Raw genomic sequence first — 15,013 nt, 5'->3', positions numbered from 1 at the left:
CGGGTATGGTGGTTCACATCTGTAATCCCAGCACTTTGGGAGGCCAAGGTGGGAGGATCATTGGAATCTAGGAGTTCAAGACCAGCATGGGCAAGATGATAAGACCCCATCTCTACAAAAAACGAAATTTGCCAGGCATAGTGGCGCACACCCATAGTCCCAGCTACTTGGGAGGCTGAGGCAGGAGGATCTCTTGGGCCCAGGAATTTGATGCAGCAGTGAGCCATGATTGTACCACCATACTCCAGCCTGGGTGACAAAGTGAGGCCCAATTAAAAAAAAATTCATATGTTGAAATCCTATCCCCAAAGTGATTATATTGAAAGATAGGGCCTTTAGAAGGTGATTAGATCATGGTGGCAGAGCCCTCCTGAATGGGATTAGAGCCCTTATTAAAAAGGCCCAATGGCCAGGCTCATGCCTGTAACCCCAACACTTTGGGAGGCCAAGGTGGAAGGATCACTTAAGTTCAAGACCAGCCTGGGCAACACAGGAGACCCTGTCTCTACAGAAAATTTAAAAAATTAGCTAGGCATGGTGGCATGCAACTGTAGTCCCAGCTACTGGGGAGGCTGAGGCAGGAGAATCACTTGAGCCCAGGAGTTTGAGGCTCCAGTGAACTACGATTGCAGAGTAAGACTGTGTCTAAAAAAATAAAAATTAAATTAAAAAGGCCTAAGAGAGACACCCTTGCCCCCTTCACCATATGAAGACACAGTAAGAAGGCACCATTTATAAACCAGAAAGCAGGCATTCACGCCGACAGTGAATTTGCTGGCACCTCTGTCTTAGGCTTCCTAGCCTCCAGAGCTGTAAGAAATAAATTTATAATTTCTGGCCAGGCACAGCCAGACACACTGACATATGCCTAAATTATTATGAAAGTATCTGATCTCTTTTTTTCACATATCTATTAAAAATTTCTTAATTGTTAAAAGTAACTGAGTCAGAGAAGTAAAGCAACGTTTGTGTCCACTATTCTTTGATTAATTAAGGAATAATTAAGAAACAGAATTGACAAGGTAATTTTCAACTCCTTTTTGTACTAGAGAGAAAGGAGGCTCACTAACAAAAGTATATACTACAGGCTGGGTGCGGCAGCTCGTGCCTGTAATCCCAGCACTTTGGGAGGCCAAGGCTGGTGGATTACCTGAGGTCAGGAGTTTGAGACTTAGCCTGGCCAACATGACGAAACCCTGTCTCCACTAAAAATACAAAAATAAGCTGCGCGTGGTGGCACACGTCTGTGGTCCCAGCTACTCAGAAAGCTGAGGCACAAGAAGCCCTTGAACCCAGGAGGCGGAGGTTGCAGTGAGCCTGGGTGACACAGCAAGACACCATCTCAAAAGAAAAAAAAATTATATACTACAGCATGAACTTGTGATCTATTAATAATTAATAGCTAATCAATCATTTCATTATCATTTAGATATGTGAACTTCTTTAGAGAAATTACCAAGCTCCATTTTCACAGAAAACACAGTAAATTCAATGAAACAGGTCCAAGGTGAGAGAAAGAAGGCTGACTGAGGGTCATTTCTGGGATTCCTGCCAGGACCCAGCGTGCTTAATCTGTCCTTGGACTTGCCTGGTCCCATTAATCAAAGGATCTAGTTTGCTGGGAAAATAACATGTTTTTGTGATCTGAAAAGCAGAAATTAAAAGGAAACTGTGACATCATGGGGAAAAAGAGAGCAAATACTATGATTTATTTGGCTGTATTTTCCAACTTTTCTGTAAAGATTACATGAAAAGTAATAGACCAAGGTCTTTGCTGCCCTTCCAAAGTTGTAACTGGTAAATAAAATGGGTTAAACTAATGGGGTGTTTACAAAACATAAACAACTTTAGTACTGACACCAGATCTGTTTAAGTTCAACATGACTTATGTAGATAGTCCTTATAAAATTGTGTTATGGAAAAGACAGGCATAAGTAACTTTTTGCAGTGTATATGGAGGCTTCAATTTCTCAAGAAATAAAACAAAAAATGGATATAAAGCCTGAGAAATTTACACTTGGACTCTACCTTTGTAACAATCACACTTAAGAAAGAAGCATACACCAGGAGCTGAGCAAGCTCAGATCCCCCACGCCTGCTCCAGTACCCAGCAGACAGGAGACACGCAGAGGATGCTGTGTTTTGAGTTGAAGGTGACTCTGTTAGCATGTCATAAAACATGCAGTAGTTTTCCTGCAGAGTATTTTAACTATCGCTTTTCAAATTTAAGCTGCATTATTTGCAACTAAAATAATCTTCAAGGAGAAATTTATTTATGTTTTCTAGTAATCGCTCTGCATAGAAGCCACTGGGATTTCTAAAGTTTCTCTCCTGTGGGAGAAGAAAAATGACACCTAGATCCGTGTCTCTCTAGTTTATTTTTATATCCTCAGGGACTAGCACTATGTCTGGAACAGATGAGGTAGTCAACAAACTGTTTAGAAGAGATGAATAACCTAGCTTTTATAGTAATGATCCATTTCCCTGTTCTAAGTCTAATTAAACTGGTAATTAAATAAATACTTGGTAAACATTAAGGTAGTTACTCATAAACATTACTCAACAAGAAATCTAGATAGACAACTCTGAAACACATCCCTTTCTTCTAGCCCTAACTGGCAAGTTTAGCTGTCTGGACTCTGATTCTGAGATCAAGCTGGGTTTTCTTCAGAGTTTCTAATTCTAAAACAATGGTGCGATGAAATGGCCCCTCTTTGGTACCTAAATTATCAATAGAGAACACTAACTCCTCTCTCTCCTTGTCAAAGTTGCCCTAAATTGGCAATGTAGACTTTTAGCCTCCCTATGTTTGCTAGGCACTATGATTTCAAGTTATCTGCTATCCAAACTTCACTTTCCTTTTTTCTGCCAAAGAAACAAAACAAAACAACAACAACAACAAAAACAAATTAAAAAAAACAAAAAAACAAGCATCACTACTGAGTCTGTAGCAAAACAGTCCACTGCAGGATTAATGCCCTCGACCAAAAGGATTAGAGAGCTACAGAACTCCGCCCTAGGACATCAGAATACACATTCTTTTCCAGTGCCCAGGGAACATATATCAAGATGGACCAATACCCCGGGCCATACAAACCTCAACAAATTTAAAAGAATTGAAATCATATAGAGTGTGTTCTCTAACCGTAATGGAATTAAACTAGAAATCAGTAACAGAAAGTTAACAAAAAAATCTCCAAACATCTGGATATGAAACAACGCATTTCTAAATAATCCACAAGTCAAGGGGGAACTCTAAAGGGAAACTTTTAGGCTGGGTGCAGGGGCTCACGCCTGTAATCCCAGCACTTTGGGAGGCCAAGGCAGGTGGATCACCTGAGGTCAGGAATTCAAGACCAGCCTGGCCAACATGGTGAAACCCTGTCTCTACTAAAAAAATTCAAATATTAGCCAGGCGTGGTGACACACACCTGTAGTCCCAGCTACTTGGGAGACTGAGGCAGGAGAATAGCTTGAACCTGGGAGGCGGAGGTTGCAGTGAGCCAAGATTGCGCCACTATACTCCAGTCTGGGTGACAGAGCAAGACTTCGTCTCAAAAAAGTGATAATAAAAAATAAAATAAAGGGAAATTTTTAATCATATATTTAACTGAATGAAAATGAAAATGCAACACATAAAAATGTGTGGAATATAGCGAAAGCAGTGCTGTGAGGGAAACTGATAGCACGAAATGCTCATATAAGAAAAGAAGAACCATCTCAAATCAATCTAATCTCCCACTTCAAAAATCTAGAAAAAAAAAGCAAACTAAGCCTAAAGCAAGCAGAAGAAAGAAAGAATTAAGGTAAGAGCAGATATAAAAGAAATTAAAAACAAATATCAATAGAAAAAATCAATTAAACAAAGAGCTGTTCTTTGAAAAGACTGATAATACGAGCAACTCTACACACACCAACTTGACAACTTCAACAAAATGGACCGCTTTCTTTAAAAACACAAACTACCACAACTCACACAATGTGAAAAGATAACTTCAACAGCCCTTAACCATTAAGGAAAGTGAATCTGTAATTTCAAAACCCTCAAAAGAGAAATCTTTATGCCCAGGTGGTTTTGCTGGAGAATTCTACCAAATGCTTAAAAAGAATTAACACCAATTCTACACTACCTCTTCCGGGAAATGAAAGAGGAACATTTCCTGACTCATTTTATGAAGGTGATATTTCCCTGGTACCAAAACCTGATCAAAACAGTACAAAAAAAGAAAACTACAAACCAGTATCACTCATGAATACAACACAAAAATGCTTAACAAAACAGAATTCAGCAATACATATAAAATAATTATTCATACGACCAAATGGGCTTCATTCCATTTGGGTTTATTCCAGGGATCCAAGACTGATTCAGTATTTGAAAATTAATCAGTGTAATCCAGCATATTAACAGGCTGAAGAAGAAAAACCACACAATCACATCAACTGATACAGAAAAAGCATTTGATGAAATTCAACACCCATTCTTCACAGTTTAAAACCTTTTTAGAGAGACAGGAATAGAAGGGAATATCCTCAACTTGATAATGAACATCTATAGAAAACCCTAAAGCTAACATTATGCTTCATGGTGAAGGACAGGATGCCATAGCCAATGCAATAAGGCCAAAAAAAAAAAAAAGTTGGGGGACGGGGGGGAATAAAAGGCGTATGGATGGGAAAGAAAGAAATAAAGCCATTCCATTTGTACATGACATGATTGCCCACATAGAAAATCTCAAGAAATCTACCACACACACACACACACACACACACACACACACACACACAACTAAGAACTAATGAGTGAGTTCCACAAGGTTGCAGGATACAAGCCAAACATTTTAAAAATCAATTGTCTATCCCGGCTAACATGGCAAAACCCCATCTCTACTAAAAATACAAAAAATTAGCCACGCCTGGTGACACATGCCTATAGTCCCAGCTACTCAGGAGGCTGAGGCAGGAGAATCGCTTGAACCCGGGAGGCGGAGGGTGCAGTGAGCCAAGATCGCACCACTGCACTCCAGCCTGGATGACGGAGCAAGACTGTGTCTCAAAAAGTATATATTTACATAATACCACTTTGTAATGACTCAAAAAAAATGAACTACTTAGGTGTTAATCTAACAAAATGTGTATGAAACCTGTGTGCTGAAAGCCGTACAATGCTGATGAAACTAATCAAAAAAGATAAAATAAATGAAGAGACACACTGTGTTAACTGATCAGAAACTTAACATAGTAAAGATGTCAATTCTACCCAAAATCACTATCAGATCCCAGCAAGATTTTATGTTGATGGAGAGACGACTATTCTAACATTAATACAGAAAGGGAAGGGAGCTAGCTAAAACAATTTTAAAATCAGGTCTATCCAATTTCAAGATGTATGCAGCTGTGATAATCAAGACTGTGATACTGGCTGAGGTATAGACATATAGATCAAAAGAACAGAGTAAATAAGCCAGAAGCAGATCCACACAAATAAAACCAACTAATTTTTGATAAAGAAGCAAAACCAACTGAATGCAAGAAGGATGTTTTTTCAACAAACAGTGCTAGAGCAATTAGACATCTACAGGCCAAGAAAAAAACACTGACCTAAATCTCATGCCTGCTACAAAAATTAACTTGAATGGATCATGGACTTAACTGTAAAATGAAAAACCACGAACGTTTTAGAAAAAAACACAAAAGAAAACCTTCAGGATCTAGGACTACGACGGAGTTCTTAGACTTGGTACCAAAAGCATCATCCATTAAAGGAAAAACTGATAAACTGGACCTCATCAAAATGAAAAACTCTCATTCTACAAAAGACCTTGCTAAGTGGCTGAAAAGCCAAGCCACTGATTCAGAAAACATTTGCAAACCACATGTCTGAAAGAGTATTAGTATCATCGGAGAATAACACTGAGTGAAAAAAGCCAATCCCAAACATTCCGATTTCATAATATTTTTGAAAGGATAAAATTATATAGAGAATAAAGTAGTGGCTCTCAGGGAGAAAGGCAGGGTGGGACAGAGGAAACTAGGTGTGGCTTTAGTGAGTGTGCATGGACAAGCAGGAGGGATCCTGTGGTGATGGGAAAGTTCTGCATCTTGACCATATCCACGTCAAGATCCTTAGTTCCACCATTGTAGTACAGTCTTGCAAGATGTCATCATTCGGAGAATCTGAGTAACCCCTCCGAATGATCTAAAAATGAAAAGTTAAATTTAAAACACTGATAAATAAGAATTTTGAGGTATTTGCTGATACAATTATATACTGCCTTAACTTTCAAATCCCTATGCTTTTCTTAGGCCAACCAGTTCTGCCTCTTCTGTGTCAGATGTTGACTTTCCCAACGTTCCTCCAGCTGAGGAAACTCATCTATGCACCAAAACTTTGTTATTCACGTAACCAATCACCAGGTTTGGGTATGCCATTAATCTGCAAGTTCAAAATTATCTTACAGGCTTTTTCTTGAATAGCCAAACCTCACCACTGATACAAGGACAAATGCAGAAGTCTGTCTGAACATGTGGAAGTCAGCACAGCTGACCCAGTGGGGCACCAGCAAGCACACGTGGCCACCTCCTTGTTGGGCCATTTGTAATTATCAGCCCTGTATGCTGCTCCATTCACCCATCCTTGTGGCACTCCCACTGTCATCTGCAGGACACTGTAGGTGGGAGAGAAGTAGGACATGGCTACTGTCATTCAACAGGAAACCATACGTGAGACACGTGTGATGGCATCAGCATTCCCAGCACCAGTTCTCCTCACTCCACCCTCCCCATGGAAGCAGCAGGTGTTGTCAGATCTGACCCGCATGTTCTGAGACAAGGGTCACGACTTCACCATCTTCCTTCGTCTCTTGAAAAATGACAGCGCTGAACACATGAGGCAGTGATGGGCACTGCTTTCCAAGTGCCTCATGCTCAGATGGCACGACAGCCATTTCCTGGGGATCTAAAACCACCCAGCTCTAGTGAGCAGTCAGCGGCTGTTGAACGTCTCACTCGTTTGATGTTGTAGGGTCCTTCGAATGGGAAAATGTATTTCCAACTAAAATTCCATGCAAATTGTCTTCCTTCTGTAAACTCATCACTGCAGGATTCAGAAAGAAGGGGCATGGAGGAATGTGTTCCATGCTTGTTCTTTCTGAATCCCGCACTGATGAGTTTACAGAGGGAAGAGAATAACCATGCAAGTGTAACTGGCCACTGGACATTCCAGTTCTTTTAAAACAATCCCATCAAAGAACACTCTTCTGTTCCCAACAACGAATCATATAAACCTATACTTTTCGGAGTTGCTGTTGTTTGTAAATTGTCTCTCAATGACTAAAAGGGTGCTTCCAGGTCTTTCAGTGGATCTGAAAGTACACCCAGAGAGGGTGGCTGTCCCAGTTCTGGGGAACAAGGGCCCAGGAATCCTCTTGCTAAACCAGTCTCTTTGCATAATGATCTTTTTACGCCAGACTGATTGGCACAGATACCCATTATCTTCATCTCAGGAGACAGGTGTTCCAATTCACACAGAGTGTTCTTCAAAAGCCTCAATCTGAGGACAACAGAGATGTACTCTGCAGAGGGGATGGCGCTTCCACAGGAGACTTTCCACGAAAGCCTAGAAATAGAAAGTAGCACCTCTTGCTGACGACAGACAATTCCTTCTTCATTTAGAGATTCCTCATCCCAGAATGAGAGAGAAACTGAAGGAGATGAGTAGTGTCCACCCACAAAAATTTTAAAAGGCTACTAGACTCCTATGGTAGGACATCAACAAAAATGTAGTCATCCATTTGGACGATTCCAGCCCAGCAGTTGGGCATGCACTGAAACTGAATAAGCCACTATGCTTTAGAATAATTGTTGTGTGGGGTTTGATTTCATTAATCACAGCAGGCTTAAAAGTAGCCCTCAGGAAGTCAATGTGATCAAGTTACTTCAGAGATGCTAGTGTGGAAATTTAAGGAACTATGCTACCAAATCAGACATACTGAGGCAGTGGCTGGAGCATGATTTGACCTATCCCCCTGCAGATATTTGAGGCCTAATGTGGTAAACTGAAGATGGGACCTTGTACTGTCAAACCATTCTCACTTCTGTGTACTGCCTAAAGCTATCTGGTTTGGAACTCTCTAGGGATAAGAACTTTGTATGAAGACGTCACATTTAAAATAAGGATGAGAAAAAGCAGGGAGAGTTCTTGCTTTCTCCTCCAAGACAATCTCCGTATCAGAAGGCAGGTGTTCATGGCACAGAAGTGCTCATGCCCTGAGTATTTTTCCTAATGCCGAGTGGAGTCTGCAGGCAGAGCAGCCAGGCAGGAGAGGAGAGTGGGGACTCACTGAGCCACCTGAAACCTCTGGAAGCAGAAGACTCTAGACTGAGAAGAAAGGTCTGCAGGAGGTTACCTTCTTCCCTCACCTCCCATTCTGCAGAGAGCTTGAGTGAGAGGAGAGAGACTAGAAGAGGAGGAAAGAATTGAGTTCCCGCTGAGAAGCGACACTGGGCACCTGTGCCAGACCCCCATCTTGATGCTCCCGGAGCCACATGACCTCGGGAAGGGAAGTTATAGGACAGGCTGCAGGTCCCAACTCATTTCCAGGGCAGAGTCTGGAGAAGGTGTCTGCTTTCGAGCTGTTTATCTCAATGCCGGTCAGTGAGGACAGCAGTCAGAAATACAACAAATAGAACCCAGACTGATTTTGAAACCAGTCTACTCACGCCTTACGACTTGTCATGAAAAAATAAAATGGTCGGAAGAAGCTGCCACTTTTGCTTACCCAGAATCCCACTGTTTAATCTACAGTGAGGCCAGGAGTCTAAGACTCAACTCAAGGGGAGCTTTCCAGGGTTAGCACCTCACTCCACATCAGCCTGGTATAACAAGCACACCATTCGTGTTCCATCACATTCCAACCACAGGCCACAGCCAAGAGCTGGAATTCAGGCAACCACCGAGTAAAGAGCCCAAGCCTTTTCTAGGAAGGGCAGGAAACCAAAGTTCTGACAGCGTGGCCCAAGGACACGCAGAGATCCCAATGCCAGGCTAATCCTAACTTGGCAACACAAGCAGGCTCTTTAGTAAGCCGAGCCTAGCAGGCCACTCTGGGGATTTTAGATTTGTTTTAGAAAAGTAAAATGTATTGAATCTGATAGAAAATCTAAAAAAGAAGAAAAGAAAACAACAAAAAAGAAAAGTCAAAGGTAGAAAGCAGGTCTGGTAGATGGTAAAACATACCATTTAAAGAATACTGTGTGGGCTTTTTATTTTTTAGTATATTTTGAATTATTTAACTTCAAATTTTTAAAATTAAAATGGATTTTAACTTTCCTTATTTAAATATATAATACTTTTGAATATCACTGAAGTTGCAGATATTAATATATGCCCTTCCTTCTTTCTTGTTTTGAATGAGGGCTGGAGGGATGTTATTTCAGAAGCAGCCATGGAACATTTAAGCAACGGCAATTCCTTTGAAGGCCTGTATTTCTAAACCCTATTCAGTCCGTGGGTAACGCGAGTGACAATGGTAAGACCACACAATGGAGGTTGGTCTTTACCATCATACTGGGCTGCTTGTGTGCTGCGATACAAAAGTTTCCCCAGCGGTAGAGTTTTGCTTAGTGATTCAGCAGCAGAAAAAAATATAGTGAATCAATTCTTTCCATTTGCAACAAACACTGAAGTGTACTGGGGCCAATTTAACAGTAAGTGGTTACTTGGAAGCTGGCAGGGCAAAACAAAACCAAAAACATAATCTATCTTTTTCACAGAAAGAGAGCAAATCATAAACTCGAGACATGAATTCACATATTTTTCATGTATGTCATTAATTCAACCACCTTACCAGGACTGATTCTGCACTAAAAGAAATTAGAAACTGACAGAAATTAAACTGGATCCCAGGCTTCATTCCAAGGGCACCGGCTATGGGTCACTTACTCAAGTCTTACAGTCCTGGGTAAACTCAGTTTTAATAACTTGTCGGGATATTTTAGGATAATTGCTGCATGGAGTTTGATTTAATTAATCTCAGCAGGGTTCACAGAAGGCTCATGAAGTCGACATGAAAAATGTCCTTCAGATGTTGTATTATTAAAAGTTGAATAATTACGTCATCAAGAGGCAGAAATAGAGAAGGCTACCATTATAAATTAAGACCAAAAAAACCCTACTTTGTCCATGCTGACAGAGAGAGAAACATGTTTATGTCTCCACAGTAGGAAAAGGGATAAAACTGTGAGCTCAGTGTCAGGGCCGATGCAGTTGCTCAACATTTGCTGAATGAATAAAACAATGAATGAAGGAAGAATGAATATTCATGATGGGACAAGAAATACAAAAAGATTATACACTCTTTCCAATAATGTTTAGAAATACATGGTTTATAACAATGAAATTTAGACCCTAGAAGACAGATCACTTGCCACAGAAGGCCAAGTCTAGAGATGGAGTGAGTGAGTGAGTGTGTGTGTGTGTAAACTGGCACTTGGGTACAACTGATTGGTTGGAGAAGGTACAAAATCCTAGGGCACCCAATTCACATAACATTCCCATTCACACTATTCACACAGAAGTATTGGTACTTCACGATTTTAGAACCTGGCTGTTCAGAATTCAAGCTTGTACTGTTGAGAGGTGAGGAAAATGGTGCCAGGTTGCTGGGGAGGCTGGCCTGTGGGCCCCGTGTTCTCTGTTGGCAGCATCATCTTCTGTATCTTTGCCTGGGATTAGCTTACAGAATTAGCTGTGCAGATCCACCACACTGGAGCTGTTTTACTTCCCAACTCTCAGACCAAAGGAGAGGACCACGACCATGTCCAAACTGGCACATGTTCAACACTGAACGAGCATTCATTACACAACAGACGTGGTGCCACCACCACCTCCTCCTATCACAGAACCATCACAGCCTCCACCACCAGAGAGACACACACACAAAGCACTTCCTGCGTGATGGCCAGGACACTCTGGCATTTTACAAGGATCAATTCATGGAATCCTCACCTATGACAGTGGTTCCCAAACTTGACTACGCTTGGGAAGCTTTCAAAAATTTCAACACATAGGTCATACCCCAAACCAATCATAACATTTGAAGGTAAGAGTAGGCACCAATGTATTTAAAGGCACCCTGGTAATTCAAACATGCAGCAAAGGTTTTGAAACTCTGAGAGATGGGAACTGCTACGGTCTGAATGTATGTGTCCCTCCAAAATTTTGATGTTGAAATTTAAACCCCAAGGTGATGATGTGAAGAAGTGGGTCCTTTTGGAACTGATTAAATCATGAGGGCTCCCCTCTCGTGAAGGAGATTAATGCCCTCATAAAAGAGGATTACCATTCTCTGCAAATACTATGAGGCAGACATGGAGAGTAGCTGTTCAGAGCCTCCAGGAAGCATATGCTCTAAAACAGTGGCTTTCAAATATTTCTGTGGTTGAAAAACATGTAGAAGGCATGTTAAAAAACAGATTGCTGGGCCCCACTCACAGAACTAATTTATAGGTCTGGTGGGAGCCCTAGAATTTACTTTCCTAACAAACCCCCAAGTGTTGCTGATGCTAGAACCATGCCCTAGGCACACAGACTCAGTCATGACTGATGTGCTTGGGGCTATAGTGATACAGATGTTCAAGGGTCCCTCAAGTCACCAAGCTGGAGCCCATCTCCTCACCTCTGTTTACGCCGTCCCCCAGGGCTAGAAGGTTTTCCTTTGTCAGCTCCTTCCCTAATTGCTCACTCCTCTGTTAGGATTCAGCCCACACTGGACTCAGCTCCTCCTCCAGGAAGCCTTCCTGGATCTTTGAACTCTCATCTTCTCCCCTAACTGACTGCCACACTCACTACTTTTCACTGCTTTGCTTTTACATATGGGCCTCTCCCTCTAGACAAGAATATGAGTCTCTTCATGAAAATGGGACTGTCTCTGATCAATCTCTCCATCTTCAGCATCTAGTACACAAAAGATACACAGTAAGTATTACATATACATTTATGCTTACAAACCAGCATGAAGTATCATCGGTATTACACTTGTGATAGCAGAATCTGCAAATCCACATAAATCCCTAAATAGGCCATTCCTGATGAATGAGAAAGACTTTTATACGTTACAGAAGAGCACTCCACCCCCCAGGAAGGGTGGAAGTGGAGCACATTTCTGAACCAGAGGCTATTTTTCTTTTAGCTATAGAGTCACAACACACAACCCGGATGTGTTTAAAAGTACATGTGCAAGTTGTTTAGGACTCAGGGCACATTTACCAATCTCTACATCACCCATGGTGACTAAGAGCTAGGGCCTGACCTAAGAATCCTGTGTAATGAGACTGAATTGTCGCATTAACACTCAAGTACAATGGACTGTTCCTATCACACAGAGCAACATTTTCTGCAAAAGATGTGATCAACGTTCTGATCAGCAATACCACAACACATCTCATTGCCAGCCTCCTGCCCCCATTGGAATAAGACAATAAAAGCCTGCCCTCCCCGTGCATCTGTCCCAGACAGTGAGTAAAGATGTCCCCTTTCCTGCTGCTAAAGTTGGAGTTGGGGTGGGTGGGGGGTGCAACCGGGAAGGGCTGAGAGAGGAGAAGAGGGCAGGAGACTGGGTGGCCCAGGAACCCAGGAAGGCAGCTTGCCTCCCTCCATTGAAACTCTCCAGTCTGGCCATTTCGGACCTGTGCTCTACTTCTCTCTAAGGAGAGCTTGCCAGTGTTAAGAAACAAAGCCTGCTCTGGTATGAATGGGGGTGGAGGGGAAAGGCTGGCCCTTCCCCTCTCCTGGATTGGACAGGTAGAGTCCTCTTGGAGGGTGCAGATGGATGCTGGTGGGTCTTCAGGGCAGACCTGGCATGCTGGGGTGGGAGACAGTCTGAGGCAGGCACAGAATCCCTCAAGTGACAATGTCTGCGCTCTCGTGATTCCACAAAGACTAGGGCAGTCCCGCTTCAGGGAAATGGGTGGAAGTGATTGCTCACCAAGAAGTCAGGTCCTTTAAGGTCCTGGTTCACTGAAGCAACAGCCCCATTTCCGAGATGCTGGAACATGATGACCACAGGACAGCCATTACCTGTGTCCACCGAAGCTGACATCCTGACCACAGCACATGGCCACAACCACATACATATACAGGAAACACAGACGCCATTCTCCTTGCATTCTGCGGTGTTGCCACAGCTCCCCAGGGTTCTTGCAGGCACAGAGGGCATCGTCCACAACCCCGAAGTTAGCGCGACGGCTGGACTGGGAACTCCTCTGAGCCCTCAGGCTCTTGTCCCCTGGTCCCCTGGTCTCTCCTCTCCAGCTTCACCTTCAGCTCAGCACACAGGAGCTATCGATGTTGTGAAAGGTTCTGTGGTGCCGTTTCTGCCTCAGGGAGTTACAGGTTAGAGGGAAGACAGACACACCGAGGGATGCAGGTGGATCTCCTAAGCCAGGCAGCCCGGGGTCCAGTCTCAGTCTTGCCACTTACTATGGGGCTCTGGCCACGACAGCTTCCCTGAACCTCCATCTCATTTAGGGAGCAATGAAACTTGACTTGCTCCTCAGTTATAACCATCCTCACCTAAACCACAGAACACAGAGGATACCTCACGCAAATGCTTCCTCCCTTCTCCCCAGGATGGTACCTGATCACCCATCTCATCCTAGGAGGGAGTGATGAAGCCATCACATAGGATGCCTGCCTCAGGGCATCAGGGTTTCATTCTGTCAAGACAGGCTGGTATGGAGGAGGTGAGCATCACAATTCAACAATACCCTGCAGGTTCCCTGGGGAGCCAAAAGAGGCATTAAACATGGAGGGAGCAGAGGCAGGAGCAAGGGGGCTCAGTGGGAGTCCAGAGAAGGATGTGGGTACAGCAGAGGCCAACAGAAAAACAGCAACCTACTCTATGCTCCCCCTTTACTGCTCTTTCATTTGTGATGCAAAGATGAGGAAAATCAGGTAAGCACTTTGTACCAATGCATTTCTCTCCACAAATGTAAAATACAATTAAACATTCCAGGTACTGATTTTCAAATTGCCATGTATTATATAGTTTCCCTCAAGAAAACCATGTACATTTGGTGTTCATTCCTGGTGTTTTAGAAATAACAATGATAGTTCTTTCTAAAACATTTGAATTTATACCACTGTGATGTTATGATCCCATTTATGCTATTACATGTCTCATAGGCAAACATTTCTTAAATGTTTAGTTTTCAGACAAAAAAGAAAGGAAAGCACTGATGAGTTCCCCTTCTAAGTGAAACCTTCCAATGCCTCTTAGCTCAAGGGAAAGGAAGGGGAAAGAAACTTTGTTGCTTCCAGCAGCAAACAGAGAGGTCAACCTACCAAGCTATAGGGCCAGGCATTGAGCCCTGAACCAGAGAAGCCTTAGAGCCAACTTTGTCCTGCTGCTTTCCCTTGAATATGCCATTTTATTTCCCTGGACCACGGTTTCCTCATCTGTAGAATATAAAGTCCCTTTCAGCTATCAAGGTGCATGCTCTGCTTCAGTATCTGTAAAGTAGAAATACTACTTGCCTCCAACTCTTAGGAAGATAAAGACTAAAAAAGAAATGTTTGGACAAGGCTTTAAGATTACATAATGAAATGGATATAAATAAGACTCATACAGTCACACAGCTAACAGAGACCATAAAGATCTGTCCAGCTAAAGTGAAACGGAACTCTCAATGCACGGGAGGAGACAGCTGGCAGTAGTCTTCTTTTTTAATTTAACTTAATTTTTTTAGAGACAGAGTCTCTCGTTCTGTCACCCAGGCTGCAGTGTAGTGGCAAAATCATAGCTCACTGCAGTCTCAACCTCCCAGGCTCAAGAGATCCTCTCACCTCAGCCTCCTGAGCACCTTGGACTACAGGTGAGTGCGCCATCACAACCAGCTGATTTCTTATTTTTATTTTTTAGAGATGGGGTCTTGCTATGCTGCCTAAGCTGGTCTTGAACTCCTGGGCTCAAGCAATCCTCCTACCTCGGCCTCCCAAAGTGCTGGGATTACA

At 42.6% G+C, this 15,013-nt stretch overlaps 1 protein-coding gene across 3 annotated transcripts in view; it reads right to left on the bottom strand.

The window, feature by feature from the left end:
* SPATA13 (spermatogenesis associated 13) overlaps positions 1-15,013 on the bottom strand; it is a 327,268-nt gene that overhangs the window by 128,919 nt on the left and 183,336 nt on the right. The gene's annotated exons all lie outside the window — the stretch shown is intronic.

This window comes from Homo sapiens, chromosome 13 (assembly GCF_000001405.40).
Source record: "Homo sapiens chromosome 13, GRCh38.p14 Primary Assembly".
NCBI classification, from domain to species: domain Eukaryota; kingdom Metazoa; phylum Chordata; class Mammalia; order Primates; family Hominidae; genus Homo; species Homo sapiens.
Note: the sequence above shows the minus strand (reverse complement) of the source record. Positions and strands in the feature narration are given on the sequence as shown.